The following is a 17,868-nucleotide window of genomic DNA, read 5'->3' as shown; positions in this document are numbered from 1 at the left end:
TCCCATACCTTTCCCAAAACTCTCTCAAAATTGCGAGCCTTGGTCATGGCCTTTATCACCTCCCGCAGAGACTGAGTCATGCTGGTCATCGTGGACGGTTTTCCAGCCTTTGGGCTTTGCGCAAGAACGAACTTCGGAAGAGCTGGAAAGTCCAGAAGTTAGTGAAAGAAGGAGGACACAAAGGGCGAAGAGCCCGCACCCTTCTCCGCCCCTAGGAGCGCAAGAGGCCGGGAGTCAGGCGAGCTGGCAGCCCCGGTGGTCCGCGATTTGCTCACTGACTTTCCTCGCACCCTTGTGACGAAGCGCGCATGCGCGCTTCGCACCCACCGCCCCGGCGGCTCCCTTGCGGCGCAGCTGCACCAGTTTTCCGAGAGCAGCGCATTTCCCCGCCGGGCGGTTGATGCGGGAGCGCCATGACACAGGCGCCTGCGCAGAGCCGCGCGTTGGCCTCCTGTTCCGCTTAAAGGGGCGGTGCAGAGGCGGCAGGAAGATGGAGTTGGGGAGTTGCCTGGAGGGCGGGAGGGAGGCGGCGGAGGAAGAGGGCGAGCCTGAGGTGAAAAAGCGGCGACTTCTGTGTGTGGAGTTTGCCTCGGTCGCAAGCTGCGATGCCGCAGTGGCTCAGTGCTTCCTGGCCGAGAACGACTGGGAGATGGAAGTACGCTTTCGCTGTCCTCGCTTCCGGCTCCATTACCTAGGTCGGTGGAGCGCACAAACCTCATCCCTTGTGCCTTTGTTTTTCAGAGGGCTCTGAACTCCTACTTCGAGCCTCCGGTGGAGGAGAGCGCCTTGGAACGCCGACCTGAAACCATCTCTGAGCCCAAGACCTAGTAAGTGATGAGGGGAGCGGGAGCCAGTCCGCACGGAGGCAGTTTGATACCAGGTAGCCCTGCGCGTCCTGGGACCTGCCGTGGAGCTGGGCGGACGATGCTGAGGCAGATCTCCAAGCTGCGTAGCCAGAGGAGCAGGGCTTGCGTTGCTGCTGCTGCGCGGAGTTGCGCCCCAGCAGCGGATCTAACACTGCACCAGACTGTCGCTTCGAACGTGATTTGGGGTCCAGGGAGGAAAAGATGGAAATGTAATGTTTAACTCAAATGAAAGGAAATAAGTAAGCGAGAGGTTTGAAACAAATGAACGAAGGCTAAACCTTCTATCGAAAAATGGCAACTTGGAAGTCTCCTTGCTTCCTGTATTGTTTATTTATTCTAGGCCCTAGGCTGACCGGCCAGAATAACAGGTTTGTTGTTGTTGTTATTTTTTTTTAATGCACACCTACTCCTGTTATTTCAGTGCCCCTCTCCAGTTCCTGCACTTAAAAAGTGTAGCTGCCTTACAAGGCCCTCTACTATTTGGCTCCATAACTTAGAACCTGCCTTTCCAGGTTCCAGGCCTATCAAACTTTTACTTTTTTCCAACGGGTCATTTTCTCCTGTCTTTGAAACTTCGTAAAGATCTTTATTACCTGTGCCTGGAATTTTTTTCTTTTCCCTTCCTTGCTAATATTTGTCTTAAAGCCCCAAGCTGAGACATGATTTATCTCTAGGAAGCTTTTCCTGATGTCCTAAGTCTGGGTAAGAGTCCCCTTTTAGGTACTCTTATAGCATCCTGCATGACCCCTGTTACAATACCTTAGTCCGTATTATAATTGCTGTTCATTATTTTATGTCTCCTACTAGACTGCACATCTAGTAAGGAGTATCTGTTTTGTACATTGTTAATTTCCCAAAGTCTGACACAACATTTGACACATAATAAGCTCCCAATAAATATTTACTGAATGTATAAAATTCTCCCAGCTATATGTACAACCTGTAAAATTGACTGTTCATAGTGGAGACTTTATTTTCCCTTTGGTCTTTTCAGCTACACTGGCTTACAGATGTGATAAGATATTTTCTTTAGGTTCCTTTCTCTGTCTTGCCTCTTGTTGGGGAATTGTTTACTCACCCACAGTGATTTGTCTCTGGCTCCCGTTTTACTAACCAGAGCAAGTTGGACTAGGAGGTGTTTGCCTAGCTCAAACTGGCCAGTCAGATCCTCTCCTTGGTTTCAGAATTAGGACCAAGAGAGTCAAGTCTGAGTCTTCCTATGGAGCTGGAACTGTAACATGTTAACTTAGCACCTGTGAGGATTCATACATATCTTTTTTTGTGTACAGAGAAGCTGAGAACAGAGGTCTGCAGAGAGACAATGAAGCAGAGGGAAGTTGAAGTGTAGGATTGAGAGAAAGCCCTTAACTGCCCTTCCTTAAACATGGCTGTATTTCTGTACCAGGCTCTGTGACATGTTTGTTTCCTTATAAATTCTCCTGTTTTGGTCAAACCAACCTGAGTTAATGTCTGTTGGTTGCAACAGACTATATTGTAACCAATAAATAGTAACAAAATAAGTGGATTTCCTGTAATAGGCCCTCAGAAAAGATGCGGATCAAGCTGATCAATGGTGTCATGGCTATTAGGATTCTCTTACCCCGGAATGGTAAATTGGCAAAAACAAGCAAAGGTGTTGATTAGGCTGTGGTCTCTTGTCTCTCAGAACTCAGGTCAAGTATGAATGAGAGTGAGGTTTTAAAGTTTAGTTTGCTCAAGAGAGAAAAATGGGGAAGGGGCAAACTTCAGCGTGTTTCTAAGGCCTGTGACCTGATTAGATTTTTGATGTTGGCTTTAGCAAAAATGAAAGGGAAAAAAAAATTGATTGGAAGATTTTATGACCAGAAAAACTCAACCCTGCTGAGCAAGGGCATTGGCTGTCTTAAATGAATGGCGCAGGAATCTCAATTCTGGAGTGAATTCCTGGGATATCAACAAAAATTGAAATTGAACACTAAAGTGATTTAGTCCCCTACATTAGAATCTATCTTCAGTGTCTCTGATGAGAGACAAGGGAAATCCTCTTAAAACAGCTATGCTGAATCTTAGCTGCATATTGGAATTATCTGGGGAATTTAAAAAAAAAACCAGAGATTCTAATTTCATTAGTCTTGAGTGGGGCCCATTATTCCTTATTGGCTTTTTTTTTTTTTTTTATTAGCTGTGCAGGTAATTCTAATGCAGAGCCAGCATTGAAAGCCCGTGTCCCAGAGCCTTGTTATTTAGAGTGTGGACTCTGGACCAGCAGCGTGCCACTGCTACTCGGGAATTTGTTAGACATGCAGAATCTTAGGTCTCACCCAGACCTACTGAATCAGAATCTGTATTTTGACAAGATCTCCAGGTGATTTAAAATTGAGGAGCACTGGCCTAACACATAAAACCTAAGACACCAGATATACTGACAAAAGCACTTCCTCCTCTGCTTAGGAATGAAGTCAACAAATCATGCCCCTAAAGTTTGCCAGTCCCTTTCTGTTCCCTTAGTATTTCTGTACAGCAACGTTTTAGAGTTTATTTCCCTTTTCATTTTTCCAAAAGGAAATTTTTAATACAGTTGCCTGGTTTTTCTTGCTGCATTAAATATTAAATATTGTGGGTGTTGCATAAATTGCAGAGATATTTGTATTAGGTTCTTGTGTTGCTATAAATACCTGAGACTGGGTAATTTATAAAGAAAAGAGATTTAATTGGCTAACAGTTCTGCAGGCTCTACTGGAAGCATGGCCCCAGCCTCTGCTGGGCCTCAGGAAGATTTCAATCATGGCAGAAGGGAAAGGGGAGCCCAGGTATCACATGGAGAGCGCAGGAGCAAGGGGGTGGGGTGGTGCCACATACTTTTAAACAACCAGATCTTGCAAGAAGAACTCAGTATCGTGAAGATAGCACCAAGACATTAATGAGGGATCTGCCTCCATGACCCAAACACCTCCCACTGGACCCCACTACCAACATTACGGATTATATCTCAACATGAGATTTGGAGGGGACAAACATCCAAACTATATCAATATGGAATTGGATTACAATGAAACAGAGGAGGAAAGGATGGCATAGTGAATAAGAGCATGGACTCTGGAGCCAAAATGCAAAGGTTATAAGTCCACCTGTGCTATTTAGTAACTGTGTAACTTCTCTCTGCCTCAATTTCTTTGTGCAGTGGGGATAGTAATATGGTTCTGAGTCTACCTGTGCTATTTAGTAACTGTGTAACCTCTCTCTGCCTCAGTTTCTTTATCTGTGCAACCCCTTCCTCATGGGGTTGTTGTAAGGATTAAGTGAGCTAATAGATGTAAAACACTTGGAATTGTGCCTGGCATATAGAGCTCAGTAAGTATAAGCTATGATTAATGACACCATCATGCTCTCCCCATACATCACCCATGACAGTCCACCTGTTGAGGAAAGTAGGGGTTGTGTTTACAGTTTTATGAGGTAGATTGAGTTATAGTTGGATATCTTTAAACTTGGAAAAAAAGGTGTGTGTGCCGGATAGGTAAGGGGCCTGATGTGATGAGCAAACACCTTTGTCTATGATAGTATATATATTTTTAAATTCAGCTATGAAACAGAAGATTTGACAGAAATAAAGAGCTAATAATTTCTCCTTTCTGGTTTTAATGCTTTTCATAAAAAGGAAATAACATCTTTGATCAGGCATGGAATCACTTGGCTTTTTCTCTCTGGTGGTAAGATGAAGGGGGCCAGCCCCTCCACACCTGTGGGTATTTCTCTTCAGGTGGGACGAGAGACTGAGAAAATAAATAAGACGGAGAGACAAAGTATAGAGGAAGAAAAGTGGGCCCAGGGGACCGGCGCTTAGCATACGGAGGATCTGCATGGGCACTGGTCTCTGAGTTCCCTCAGTATTTATTGATCACTATCCCCATCTCGGTGAGGGGGATGCGACAGGACTAGAGGGTAATGGTGGAGTCAGCAGGAAAACGTGAGCAAAGGACTCTGTGTCATAAATAAGTTTAAGGAAAGGTGCTATGTCTGGATATGCACGTAGGCCAGGTTTATGTTTGACTTTACACAAACATCTCAGTGCAATAAAGAGTAGTATTGCCGCCAGCATGTCTCACCTCCAGCTATAAGGCGGTTTTCTCCCATCCAAGTAAATAGAATGTACGATCGGGTTTTATACCGAGACATTCCATTCCCAGGGACGAGCAGGAGACAGATGCCTTCCTCTTTTCTCAACTGCAAAGAGGCCTTCTTTCACTAATCCTCCTCAACACAGACCCTTTTTGGGTGTCGGGCTGGGGGACGGTCAGATCTTTCTCTTCTCATGAGGCCATTATCTCAGGCTGTCTCAGTGGGGGGAATCCTTGGACAATACCCAGGCTTTCTTGGGCAGAGGTCCATGTGGCCTTCCGCAGTGCATTGTGTCCCTGGGTACTCGAGACTGGAGAATGGCGATGACTTTTACCAAGCATACTGCTTGCAAACACAATTTTAACAAAGCACATCCTGCACAGCCCTAAATCCATTAAACCTTGAGTCAATACAGCACATGTTTCTGCGAGCACAGGGTTGAGGCTAGAGTTACAGATTAACAGCACCTCAAGGCAGAAGAATTTTTCTTAGTACAGATCAAAATGGAGTTTCTTATGTCTTCCTCTTTCTACATAGACACAGTAACAGTCTGATCTCTCTTTCCCCCACAGTAAGACGTTGAAAAAAAGTCTAATAGCTCATTGTTGAATAAGAGAACTTTTGGGTAGGATGAAATTCACAAAAGAAAGTTTTGCACTTTTTTTTTATGCTCTTGAAGGTTATTTTTATGTAAAAGGGAGACAATTCAAAATATTTTATGCTACAAAATTGACATTAAGTTCATCTAGCACCCAGATCATGGCCTTTAAATACAATTCTTCACTGAAAGGAACAAGGGCTTTTCAGAAATGACTGATTTCATAGAATGAAAGGGGCTTAATGTAAAAATTAAAAAAGAAGTTAAAAAGAAATGACTGATTCCAGAGCAGGGGCAAAAAAAGTACAAGATGAGCCAATGGTATCTGTGGTGTTAGAAAGTAAGGAGGTGCCCAGAAAATGTTGGGGACATGCCAGAAGGGCACAAGACCTAGCTTAAAAGCTGCCTACCCTTTCCCCGTGAAATCTGGTATAACCCAAGCAACAGGATGCTTGGTAGGAATAGATTACAATCCATAAAAAAAGAACCCATACTGATATAAATACCATTGTCCAAGAGAGAAGGGAACATTTTTCCTTACAGTAGAACTCCATCTATTAAATGTGGAAGACATGAGGAATTAGAAAAAAATCTTCATTTGGGAACTGCCGTATTGATAATTATTTCAGGTAGATATCAACAGATACTAAAACTAGTAGGAAAGTTCAGTGAACAACAGCATATTTACATAATCACAAAGTACTTTCCCACAAAATACTTACTATGATGGGGAAAATTATAACTTCGTACTAGAGAAATCTGGTTAACAACACTTTAACCAAGTGATCAAAGCTAACATCACCAGGAATGGGAAAGCTCCATATCAGATGCTTGATATGGTGCATTGCGGAGGACATACTATCACTTCTGTGACATTCCTGCCAAAAAATGCATAATCTGAATCAAATAATAGGAAAACATAAGCCCAATCTGAAGGACATTCTGTAAGATAAATGGCCTGTACTCTTCAAAAATGTCAGAGTCATGAGAGACAAAGACTGAAAAACTTTTCTGGATTGAAGAAAATTAAAAGAGACATGCCATCTAAATATAACATGTGATCCTAGATTAGGACACTAGTAGCACAATTGGCAAGATTGGTCTAGGTCTTTAGATATTAAATCTAGCCATAGGAGGCAATAAGAAAAAGAAAAACTTATATCAATGATAATCTTCTGACTTGTTGATCATACTAGAGTATACTGTTATGCACCACATAACCACATCTCTATTGACAACAAACTGCATAAATGAAGATGATCCCATAAGATTATATTACTGTATTTTTGCTATACCTTTTCTATATTAGGTATTTTTAGAACACAAGTAAGTGCCATTGTGTTACAGTTGCCTACAGTATCCAGTATAGTAGCATGCTGTACAGGTTTGTAGCCTAGGAGCAGTAGGCTAGACCATATAGCCTAGGTGTGTAGGAGGCTGTTGTACCATCTAGGTTTGTGTAAATTCTCTCTATGATGTTTGCATAATGATGAAATCACCTAATGACACGCTTCTCCAAATGTGGTGCATAACTGTATATGTAAGCATGTCTTCGTGTTTAGGAAATAATACAAAAATATTTAAACAAATGGTTCAGAATAAAAAGAATAAAGCAAGTAAATGTTAAGTAAAATGTTAATATTTGAGGAACCTGGGTGAATGGTGTATAGGAGAAAAGTTAAAATGTTGGCATTAAAATTATAAATTCAGACACCTATTTTTAAAATTCATGAATAGTTTATAAATGCTTAGGAGTTAACCTTTTAATAAAGTTTGTCCCTCCACTCATATGTCTGGGGTATTGGTTGGGGGAGCAGATGGTGGAGTCAAGACTATGGACTGGAACACATACATATGTCCTTTCCAGCATGGCAGTCTCAGGGTGGTTGGACTTTTTACATGGCAGTTCCAGGGTTCCTGGAGGGAGTGTTCCAAAAGCCTTGAATGGAAGTGGCAGATTATCTTAAGGCCAAACCTCAAAAGTCCCAGAATATTCTTTCCCTGTAGTAAGCAAGCTACTAAGGTCTGGATTCAAAGGGGAGGGGCATTAGGTTTCATCATTCAAAGGGGAGTAGCAAAGAATTTGCAGTTCCTATTTATCTGCCACAATGAGATCTTATTTAACATATGATTTTAAAAAATTCCAAAAAGATTTAGAAATCCTACGTTTCTGAGTCTAATTTGGGATCATAGTTTATACAATTATTCTAGTGACACATGTCATTGAAGGATATTAAGTTGTTTATAACTGCCTAAGTGAGCAAACATTTGGACAGTACAGTAAGAATCTATCTACGAACCCAAAAGTATCTGAGTCAGGTCTAAATCAATTTAGAAGGTTTATTTTGCCAAGGTTAAGGACGCACCCATGACACACCCTCAGGAAGTCCTGACTACCTTGTGGACATGTGCCCTAGGTTGTTGAGGTACAGCTTGCAAGTCAATACCCTGAGACACCAAAGGTTGCAGCAGAAAAAAAATTTTAATTGTAAGGCCGCCAAACCAGGGGACTGGAGGAAACTTCAGATTCTCCTTGAGAAGTTTGGAGCTTGAGACTTAAAGAGGTTTGGAGTGGACCAAGGTGTGAGGATTGTTGATTGGTCAGAGTGCAATGATGAAGTCATGGGATCTAGAGATGAAGAAACTGCATTCTCATGCTGATTCGGTTCCTGTCGGGGTGTCTTCAAACTGGTTGGTGTCAGCTTTCTGCTGGAATTCAGCGTCTGAAAAACATCTTAAGCAATGCTTAAACAAAAGCCTTATGATTCTGATGTCAGAGATCCTACCCATAGGAGCAATGGGGATGCAAGTCATCAGTATATAGGGCTATGGGATGACTTTCCGTACAAAGAAGTGGGCCAAAGTGCAGCGTGATTAATGCTCAATTATATTTCTGTCTAGAACCTGGCATGCAATTCTTGTTAACCCTGTAAGGACAGTGTCACTTTTAGGGCTCTTTTAAAATTTGTCTGTAAAATGAGGGCTACAAATACAAAATAATTCTTAATCAATTTATAGATTATTTGCAAAGCCATGTTTTATTCTGATCTTGCCAGTGTTGACCTAACCAATGAAGAAACAACTGATTCCACCACTTCTAAAATCAGCCCATCTGAAGATACTCAGCAAGAAAATGGCAGCATGTTCTCTCTCATTACCTGGAATATTGATGGATTAGATCTAAACAATCTGTCAGAGAGGGCTCGAGGGGTGTGTTCCTACTTAGCTTTGTAAGTATTATCACTTCTATTTAATAGTAATGTGTCTTATGTATATACAAAGTAACAGTTCAAGGTTGTGGGCTTTAGAATTAAACCTAAGTTCAATGTCCAGCTCTGAGAAGAAACATCTGAAGAATTAAGATGATTGCCTCTGAGAGCAGGATTGCAGGCTGCAGCAAAGAGGGAACACTAATTTTCGTTAGAAGCCTTTTAGTACTGTTTTCTTCTTCAACTTTGTTTATCGTAACTACGTGAAATTAAAACTACCAAAAAGATCTATTTGTGCCCCATGCTGGCTCTGTGACCTTGGCCAAATCACTTAAGTTCTCTGGACAGTTTTCTTCATTGTGGTTAATAACTGCTTCAAGAGGATTGAAAGAAACATTGAAAGCATCTCTTAGTGTGTAGGACCATTGAAGTCTCTCAATATGGCGGTTTCTATTGTCAGTTTTTCTAGTTCTTTTTGATATATTTGTTACAGTACTACATTAATAAATAGCACACATCTTTCTCATTTTATAGTTATCAAAGATCAGCATAAACACTCAATATTAGGTGCCCTAGAGGGTTTTTTGTTTTTGGTATGTTGTGGGATTTCCTTCATTTAGGTAGCTGAAAATGAAATGGTATACTTGGTATTTGTCATAAATTGATGTTTTTCATTAGGTACAGCCCAGATGTGATATTTCTACAGGAAGTTATTCCCCCATATTATAGCTACCTAAAGAAGAGATCAAGTAATTATGAGATTATTACAGGTAACAATTTTTGTTATTCAACTTGTCTTTTCTTTGAAAAACAGATCAGTGAAAGAGATAAATCAAAGTTGGTCTATTGGGACATAGAGAGGAAAAAGCACAAATAAATAAGTTTGAGAAAAATAAGCAAGACACAGAATACTACAAGAATTATAGGAGAATATTTTATACAACTTAATATTAATAGTGTGAAAAGGAAATGGATGATTTTTCAGGAAAATATAAATTACTAAAATTTGAGAAACAACACCTTTTTGGTGAAATTCAGTTGTTAAAAGTTTTAACTGAAATAATCACATTGTGGTTATTATGCTTTTTCAAAAAGTCTTTATTTTATAATTCCTTATTTATTTTGTTGTTCTTTTTGTACTTTTTTTGCCCTGAGTAATTTAGTTTTTAAATTTTCCATCTAATTTGTTTTTGCTAAATATATTTAAAATACTACTTTGGCCACATCTCGTGATTTTCATATACAGTCTTTCCTTGGTATTCTCAGAGGATTGGTTCTAGGGTTCCTCAATGGATACCAAAATTCGCACATACTCAGTTTCCTCAGTGTGCTCTGCAGAACCCATCTATATGTGCGCACTCCATTTCTGCAGGTTTCATGTCCTGGGAAGACTGTATTTTCAACCTGCATTTGGTTGTGGATGCAGATACAGAGGACCAACCGTATTTACTGAAAAAATATCTGTATAAGTGGACCTTGAAGTTCACTTGTGTTGTTCAAGTGTCAACTGTATAGTGCTTTCTTTGACTTTCATTTTTATATAGTATGTGATTTTTAGTTTCAATCGACTCCTTAATCGAGAATTTCTAAGGAGAGGGTTCTCTCTCAGTCTGTGTGTGTCTCTCTTTATGGAACTATTTTGTATTCTCTTGGGGATTCTTTTAGGATTTCTGATTCCCATGCTTCCTTCTTGGTTTACTTCCTTATTTTATTGGAGCACCTTCTCTAATTAATTTCTAGGAAATAGTGCATGGATAGTGAAGTTTTTGAATCCCAGCATATTTGAAAATGTCTGTGTCGTAGCTTTGTAGTTCTTGATAGTTTGGCTGAAGATAGGTATCTGGGTAAATAGATGTTTTCCTTCAGAATTCTGAAGGCATTCTTCAATGTCTTCTAGTTTCCATTATTGATGATGGGTGATAAGGCTGATGCCATTCTAATTTTTATTCTTTTCTTTTTCCCTACTCTCTGGAAGCTTTGAGGGTCTTCTTTTTAACCCTCGTGTTCTTTGGGTCTTTTTAAAATCTATTGTACTGAATGCTTGGTGGGAACTTTTATTCTGTGGAATTTTAATATGTGGAAAACCTTAGTTGGAAAATCCTTTTCCCTCTCCCTCCCTCCCACCATTCCCCTCGCCTCTCCTTTCATTATCTTTGTTATTTCTCTTTCCTTTTCTCCCTGTCTCTTCTTTCCTCCCTTAAGTTTTTTTACTCTCCCATTTTTCTGAATTCCCTCTGTTAAACGGTGGATCTCCTGGGTTGATCCTTGAATTTTCTTAACTTTCTCTTATTCTCCTATCTCTATTGACTGTTCTACTTTCTTGGCAACTATCTTGACTTTTAGATAGCATTATTTTAATTTCCTAGGCCTCCTATTCACTGAATATCTTTTTTATGGCACACTTTTCTTGGTTTATGGATACAGTATCTTTTTTGTTAGTTTTTTGTTTGTTTTAGGTTTTAATCTCTTTCCCTGCATTGTTTTTATTTCCTTCTTTTTGTTTATTTTGATTATGTTATGTCAGTATCCATCATGTCATGTTAGACCTGTTCCTTAAATATGTAGGGATCCTTGGCTTTTGGTTCACATTTAAACACCAAACACTAAAATGTTGATTACAGTTTAGTATGCCTGAGCAAGGCTAAGTAGTTTACCTTACTGGACAGGGGTGAGGGATTGATTGTAGAGCAAACTGCTTATTCATTTGAGGGAGACCCACAATTGTCAGTGTGTTGGTATATACAGGCCTTTAATCTGAGACCATTTTGTTTCTCCAAAAAAGAGTTATTTAGCTTTCTGCCTTCTGGGTGTTGGGACTGGGGTGGTGTGCTTGTTTTGCCTACCTTCTGGAAGCAGGTGAGGGGAAGGGAGCTGAGTAGGCACACTTTACTTAATCAGTGTTCAACCTATTCACCTATCAGCCGTGGGCTAACATGCATGCCCCTCCCTGTGGCTGGTGACTCTGGAGCCTCTAAAATTTAGTTCTATGTAAAACTGTAGTCTCCTGTTAATAGAGGGACAGTCACTTAGCTCTAAGGAGTTGAGGAAACCTGGGGGTTGTTTAACCCCATATCCAGACCTTGAACTGGCCCTCCTCTTCTTAGCTCAGCACCTTACCTTTTGTGGTACCTTTATGTTCAAGCACTAAGTGTTTCCAGATTTTGGTGGAACAAATCTGCTTGCTTCCTGTCTATGGTTCTCTGCTACAGTCACTCAAGTGGTTTCCTTCTCTTCTGATAAACCGGTTACCACTTCTCCATCTGTTTTCTGTTTTCTGAAAAACTGTTGGAAGCTTTCATTCATGGCCTCTACTCCTATTTTCTGTTCTTGCAGGTTTATATCTTTCTAGATTTTTATTCATTTACTATAATTTTTCTGAAACTTCTAGTATGAGAAGTAGTAAGTGGCTATCAGCTGGCCACAGTTCATCTCATCTACTCTGTGTCTTTCAGAAATTTCTCAAATTTTCTCATCTGATATTGGCAGCATTATTTTTTGGCACTTGTTTACATTTTTTTTCATTTTTATTTATTCATTTATTTTGAGACGGAATTTCACTATTGTTGCCTAAGCTAGAGTGCGATGGCACGATCTCAGCTCACCGCAACCTCTGCCTCCCAGGTTCAAGTGATTTGCCTAATTCAGCCTCCCGAGTAGCTGGGATTACAGGCATGTGCCACCACGCCCGACTAATTTTGTGTTTTGTAGAGGCAGGGTTTCTCCATTTTGGTCAGGTTGGTCTCAAACTCCTGACCTCAGGTGATCCGCCCACCTCGACCTCCCAAAGTGCTGGGATTACAGGCATGAGCCACTGTGCCTGGTCTTTTTTTATTTTATTTTATTTCTTCTAAGCTTCTAGCTAAAATTTGGGAGGGAGGAGGTAGACTTGTTTGGCCATGATGAACTATTTTGAAATAATAGTTTAAAGATTTAGATCCATGTAAATATCTGTTACCTGTTTGCTATAAAATTCTTCAATAGGCAAACTTGTGGTAAACTGAAAATAACTCTCACCTTCTCAGCCTAAATTCTTTTCCACAAACATTTGTAGGTCATGAAGAAGGATATTTCACAGCTATAATGTTGAAGAAATCAAGAGTGAAATTAAAAAGCCAAGAGATTATTCCTTTTCCAAGTACCAAAATGATGAGAAACCTTTTATGTGTGCATGTGAGTAATTTTTAAAAATTGAGTGTTTTATAAAAAAAAGATTTTTTCATAGTTTTGTGTTATTATTCTTTTTAAAACCATTGCCTTTAGAGAAAAATTTGCTTCACACATGTAGATTCTTTTAGATAGTCTTTAACACTCTCTAAAATTAATTTTTTACATAAATTTTAAATGCAGATAGAATTCTCAGTCTATTGTTTTCTTAAGAATATTTGAGTTTGCTGACATTCCACATTTGCTTCCTAAAGTAATGTTTTTACTTTCTACTCTATACATGCTGCTATATTTTACTCTATGAGACTTACAAAAATGAAAAATAGATCTTGCTCTGATATAGTATATAGATTAGTAAGGGAGAGTGTGTATATAGTAACTAAAACATAAGAAAGGCATAAGTGCCACAGGAGAGGTATAAATGATGTGTGGAAGTTTAGAGAAAGGAGAGATGACTTTTAGCCAGATTGTTTAGTGAGAGTTTTATAGAGGAGATGGTATTTGAAATGAACCCTGAAAAATATGTAAGACATACATATTAAAAAGAGTCCAAGTAGAGAAACCACCATGAGCAAACTTTTGCAAGTTGCAAGAGGTGTACATGTATGAGTATGAATGAGCATTCTATTCAGTTGAGTGTAGGGGCCATGGAGAGGCAAATGTGACAGGTTGAGAAGTAGGTAGGCTCCTGATTATAGAAGAGCATGAATGACCAATATGAAAGAATTAGACTTGATTCTGCAGACACTTAGTATAATGATAGATTGTACATTGTTGGTGTCTTAATTGCAAATGGTAAATGATTCTCATTCATTCAGTTAACTGACTTTTTTGGAATACCTGTATGCCAGGCCCTTAATAATACAGCAATAAATAAGAATCATCTCTGCTTTGCAAATGACTTATGGCTTTGTAGGAGGGAAATAATTGTCCTTTTAATTTAGCCTAGGGGGCTTTGAAACAGTCTGTTCAGCATGCCTTTGGTGTATTGAGGAGGGAGCCGCTGATGGCCTGGGGACACTGGGGAAAGGTTCACAGTGGAGGTGACATCTGGGGGTAGGTCGTGCTTGCTAAACCGTCGTCTTTGGGGACAGGGTTACTGCTTTAATACTTCTTTTGATCCGGAGGGATAGGCATAGTGCTGATTTTACAGTTTCAGTTTAGTAAATATATACCATTTGACAGAACAATCTGCTGATTTTATTATTAAAGTTCAGTATTAATAGTCAGTGGACAGTTTTAATGACTGTTTGTCCTGCTGCAGGTGAACGTGTCAGGAAATGAGCTTTGCCTTATGACATCCCATTTGGAGAGCACCAGAGGGCATGCTGCGGAACGAATGAATCAGTTAAAAATGGTTTTAAAGAAAATGCAAGAGGCTCCAGAGTCAGCTACAGTTATATTTGCAGGAGATACAAATCTAAGGGATCGAGAGGTGAGTGACAAAGTCAGTTTGATGTTTGAGGACAGATTATTGCTATGGAGACTAATTTAGGTTCCTTTGACCAAAGCTGTTAAAACTAGGACCTTTAGTCACTCAAAATGTCTTAAGTGACCTTGCAATTCAGCGAATATTTGTTTAGCCTATGCTGTATGCCTAGGGGAAGAAGGGGCTCTTTTTGGAGGAAAATAAAAATGTGCATGAGAAATAGACAACACTAAACTATATGTGTGTGTGTATATATATATATATAGGATTAGAAAGAAAGGTAGAGAAAATGATTGTAGAAGAGTTTAGAAAAGGTTGTTTCTTTGCAGTATTCCTAGGTGCAATATGAGAACAATGGAAAGATTGGACCGTGATAATTGTTCCTGACTCTCTTTTTTTCTGAGGTTTCCTTTTCTTTTTTCTTTTTTGGCTTTTATTAGCCTTTTTTACCCACTTTTCCTGCCACCACCATGTCCAGATCTCCAGGTCTGAAACAAAGTCTCTTTCTCCCTGCCTATAGCTCAGTTGAGACACAGTGGGATTTTTCAGGACCTTAAAAAATTAAACATGGAATTACTAATGTGATGCATCAATTACACTTCTAGGTGTAAATACCCAAAAGAAGTGAAAGCAGGGATTTGAATGTATTTTGTCTACCCATGGATGTTCACAGCTGTGTTATTCACAGTAGCTAAAAGGTGGAAGCAGCCCAAATATCACTGACAGATGAATAAACAAAATGTGCTATATGTATACAGTGGAATATTATTCACCCTTAAAATGAAGAAACTTTGACACATGCTACAATATGGGCGAATCTTAAAGACATTATGCTGAGTGAATGAAGCCAATCCAAAAAGGAAAAGATACTATATGATTCCTCTTATGAATTTCCTAAACTGGTCAAATTCATAGAGACAGAAAGTAGAATGGTGTTTGCCAGGGACTGGGGGTATAAGGGAATGGTGAATTGGTGTTTAATGGGTACAGAGTTTCAGTTGGGGAAGATTAAAAGGTTCTGGAGATGGATGGTAGTCATGGTTGCACAACTATGTGAATATACTTAATGCTACATCACTGTACACTTAAAAATTGTTAAAATGGCTGGGCACAGTGGCTCATGCCTGTAATCCCAGCACTTTGGGAGGCCGAGGTGGGCAGATCACTTGAGGCCAGGAGTTCGAGACCAGCCTGGCCGGCACGGTGAAACCCCATCTCTACTAAAAATACAGAAATTAGCCGGGCATTGTGGCACATGCCTGTGATCCCAGCTATGCAGAAGGCTGAGGCACTAGAATTGCTTGAACCTGGGAGGTGGAAGTTGCAGTGAACCGAGATTGCACCACTCCATCCTGGGCAACAGAGTGAGACTCCCACCTCAAAAAAAAAAAAAATTGTTAAAATGATAAATCTTGTATTGTGTATATTTTACCGCAAACAATTTTTTTAAATCCTGGAGTGTGAATGAGCAAACAGAATTAATATTATTAATAAACTTCAAATAAAACTGAAGGCAGTTGAAATTTTTGGATCATATGAATGCTATACTTCTGAAGTTGTAGACTAAAGTAGAGTGGCAGTTCTGCCTTCTTTTCACTTGAGTTCAGTTTTTGAAAACAGATAACAGCAGTAACAGGCCATGTATATTCAGCCTTCTAAGTTTTATCTGAAACCCAAAGTTAGGAACCTATTTATGGCAGAAGAGAAGGGGCAAATTCCAAACCCCTCTGGCTGTCTTGATATTTTTATATTACATACCACTATGCAGCATAGTACTTTTTATAATGTATCTCATTGTTTTGCATTTCTGCATTAATAATTTCTTGCACGGTAATAGCAAAAACACCTTTTTTTTTTTTTTTTTAAGTTAGTGGGCAAAAGGCTATGTGTATCTTAGAGAGTATTCTTCTTCTTTTCAGGTTACCAGATGTGGTGGTTTACCCAACAACATTGTGGATGTCTGGGAGTTTTTGGGCAAACCTAAACATTGCCAGTATACATGGGATACACAAATGAACTCTAATCTTGGAATAACTGCTGCTTGTAAACTTCGTTTTGATCGAATATTTTTCAGAGCAGCAGCAGAAGAGGGACACATTATTCCCCGAAGTTTGGACCTTCTTGGATTAGAAAAACTGGACTGTGGTAGATTTCCTAGTGATCACTGGGGTCTTCTGTGCAACTTAGATATAATATTGTAAAATGCTTTTCAAGTGTGGGTTTTGCCCTGATTGTTGCAAATACAATTTCCACCTTCTGGAAAGGTAGGTTTGCTGTGGAGGAAATAATGTACTAGATCATTGTCACAGAAAAACCAACTATGATTTATGGTTGTGTTTTCAGAATTCAACATTAAAGATTAATGTTTATTTAAACGAACACATTCCTGCATTCAGGATGTGAGGCCATTTAATAAAAAGGGCACAAAGCCTGTCAGAGTTTTCAACGGTGCTTATAGCTGCCAGCTGGATTCCAAACAGGTACCACATTGTCTCTGAGCTAATGTTTATATTTTTCCATTCAGGCACCGAAATAGTTAATATTTGAAATAAGTCTTCAAAAGAAAACATAAGAGATTATTGAGTTCTTGGGACTGGATCCTTTATTTCATAAGTTCAGATCATCTTAAATGAAAATGCCATGATTATCTGCAGTTAAGTAGATGACAGCTATTCTACATCAGACTTGATTTTTGTCAGCTAATTACATAATTGGTAAGCTATAATTGAAACCTTATGGCTTAAAATTCCTTAACTCCTTTTTGATTCATGTTTGTAGTCATGTTGTCAACAGAGGCAAAGTTAAGCTTGATGATGGTTAAAATCGGTTTGATAGCACCATGGGACATTTTTCTAACAAAAATAAATGCATGAAGAGACATAGCCTTTTAGTTTTGCTAATTGTGAAATGGAAATGCTTTACAGGAAGTAAATGCAAATTACTTTTAAGTGTGCTTTAAAGAAAAATATTTTCCCCACAAGAGAAATTTAAATAAAGAATTTTATTTGTTTATGGTTTGTTTTAGTATGTTTTTGTGTCCATGATGAGATTAAATTTTTTATCTGCTTCCTGCTTCTGGCTCTACTGCTGCTTCTTCCTCTTTGTGTAGAAGAAAACAGATTTCCATTTGCTTCTCACTCCACCAAGAATTACCAAGAATATATCTGCTTCCTTTGTCTGAAAAAAAGCCAGCGAGAATAATTAGAAGTAATAGAATCTTATTTATATCAGGAGTGCCAAAATTTAAACACCTAAAAAAAGATATTTATATATAATATTCCCTTTGTAGTGACAACGAAAAAGTTTAAATGTTAATCATAATTTTAATCATTAAAAATAAAAAATGAGGGCCGGGTGCAGTGGCTCACACCTGTAATCCCAGCACTTTGGGAGGCTGAGGCGGGTGGATCACGAGGTCAGGAGATCGAGACCATCCTGGCTAACACGGTGAAACCCTGTCTCTACTAAAAATACAAAAAATTAGCCGGACGTGATGGCGAGTGC

General features: G+C 39.3%; 2 protein-coding genes across 3 annotated transcripts in view, besides 3 other annotated features; one reads left to right on the top strand and one right to left on the bottom strand.

Moving 5' to 3' along the window:
• ACOT13 (acyl-CoA thioesterase 13) overlaps positions 1-276 on the bottom strand; it is a 37,970-nt gene extending 37,694 nt beyond the window's left edge. For both annotated transcript variants that reach the window (NM_001160094.2, NM_018473.4), the window contains exon 1: positions 9-276. Coding sequence is in view for 1 of the 2 variants with exons in the window: in NM_018473.4 (NP_060943.1) it covers positions 9-89 (81 nt within the window). In the remaining variant the exon portion in view is untranslated. The remainder of the gene's footprint in view (positions 1-8) is intronic.
• Positions 64-735: an enhancer, noted in NCBI's record as "H3K27ac hESC enhancer chr6:24666846-24667517 (GRCh37/hg19 assembly coordinates)". NCBI's record gives its function as "activates a minimal SCP1, AML or CMV promoter by ChIP-STARR-seq in primed H9 embryonic stem cells {active_cell/tissue: H9 hESC(primed)}" and the evidence as "EXISTENCE:reporter gene assay evidence [ECO:0000049][PMID:30033119]".
• Positions 238-532: an enhancer, noted in NCBI's record as "tiled region #5933; HepG2 Activating DNase unmatched - State 1:Tss, and K562 Activating DNase unmatched - State 1:Tss". NCBI's record gives its function as "activates a minimal TATA promoter and a strong SV40 promoter by Sharpr-MPRA in HepG2 and K562 cells {active_cell/tissue: HepG2 | K562}" and the evidence as "EXISTENCE:reporter gene assay evidence [ECO:0000049][PMID:27701403]".
• On the top strand, positions 454-17,374 carry TDP2 (tyrosyl-DNA phosphodiesterase 2). Its single transcript, NM_016614.3, has 7 exons — positions 454-655; positions 742-827; positions 8,619-8,792; positions 9,450-9,541; positions 12,823-12,941; positions 14,200-14,370; positions 16,284-17,374. Exons 1-7 carry the CDS (start codon positions 491-493, stop codon positions 16,563-16,565), a joined length of 1,089 nt encoding a protein of 362 aa, NP_057698.2. The 5' UTR covers positions 454-490; the 3' UTR covers positions 16,566-17,374.
• Positions 736-1,408: an enhancer, noted in NCBI's record as "H3K27ac hESC enhancer chr6:24666173-24666845 (GRCh37/hg19 assembly coordinates)". NCBI's record gives its function as "activates a minimal SCP1, AML or CMV promoter by ChIP-STARR-seq in primed H9 embryonic stem cells {active_cell/tissue: H9 hESC(primed)}" and the evidence as "EXISTENCE:reporter gene assay evidence [ECO:0000049][PMID:30033119]".

Source organism: Homo sapiens, chromosome 6 (genome assembly GCF_000001405.40).
Source record: "Homo sapiens chromosome 6, GRCh38.p14 Primary Assembly".
NCBI classification, from domain to species: domain Eukaryota; kingdom Metazoa; phylum Chordata; class Mammalia; order Primates; family Hominidae; genus Homo; species Homo sapiens.
Note: the sequence above shows the minus strand (reverse complement) of the source record. Positions and strands in the feature narration are given on the sequence as shown.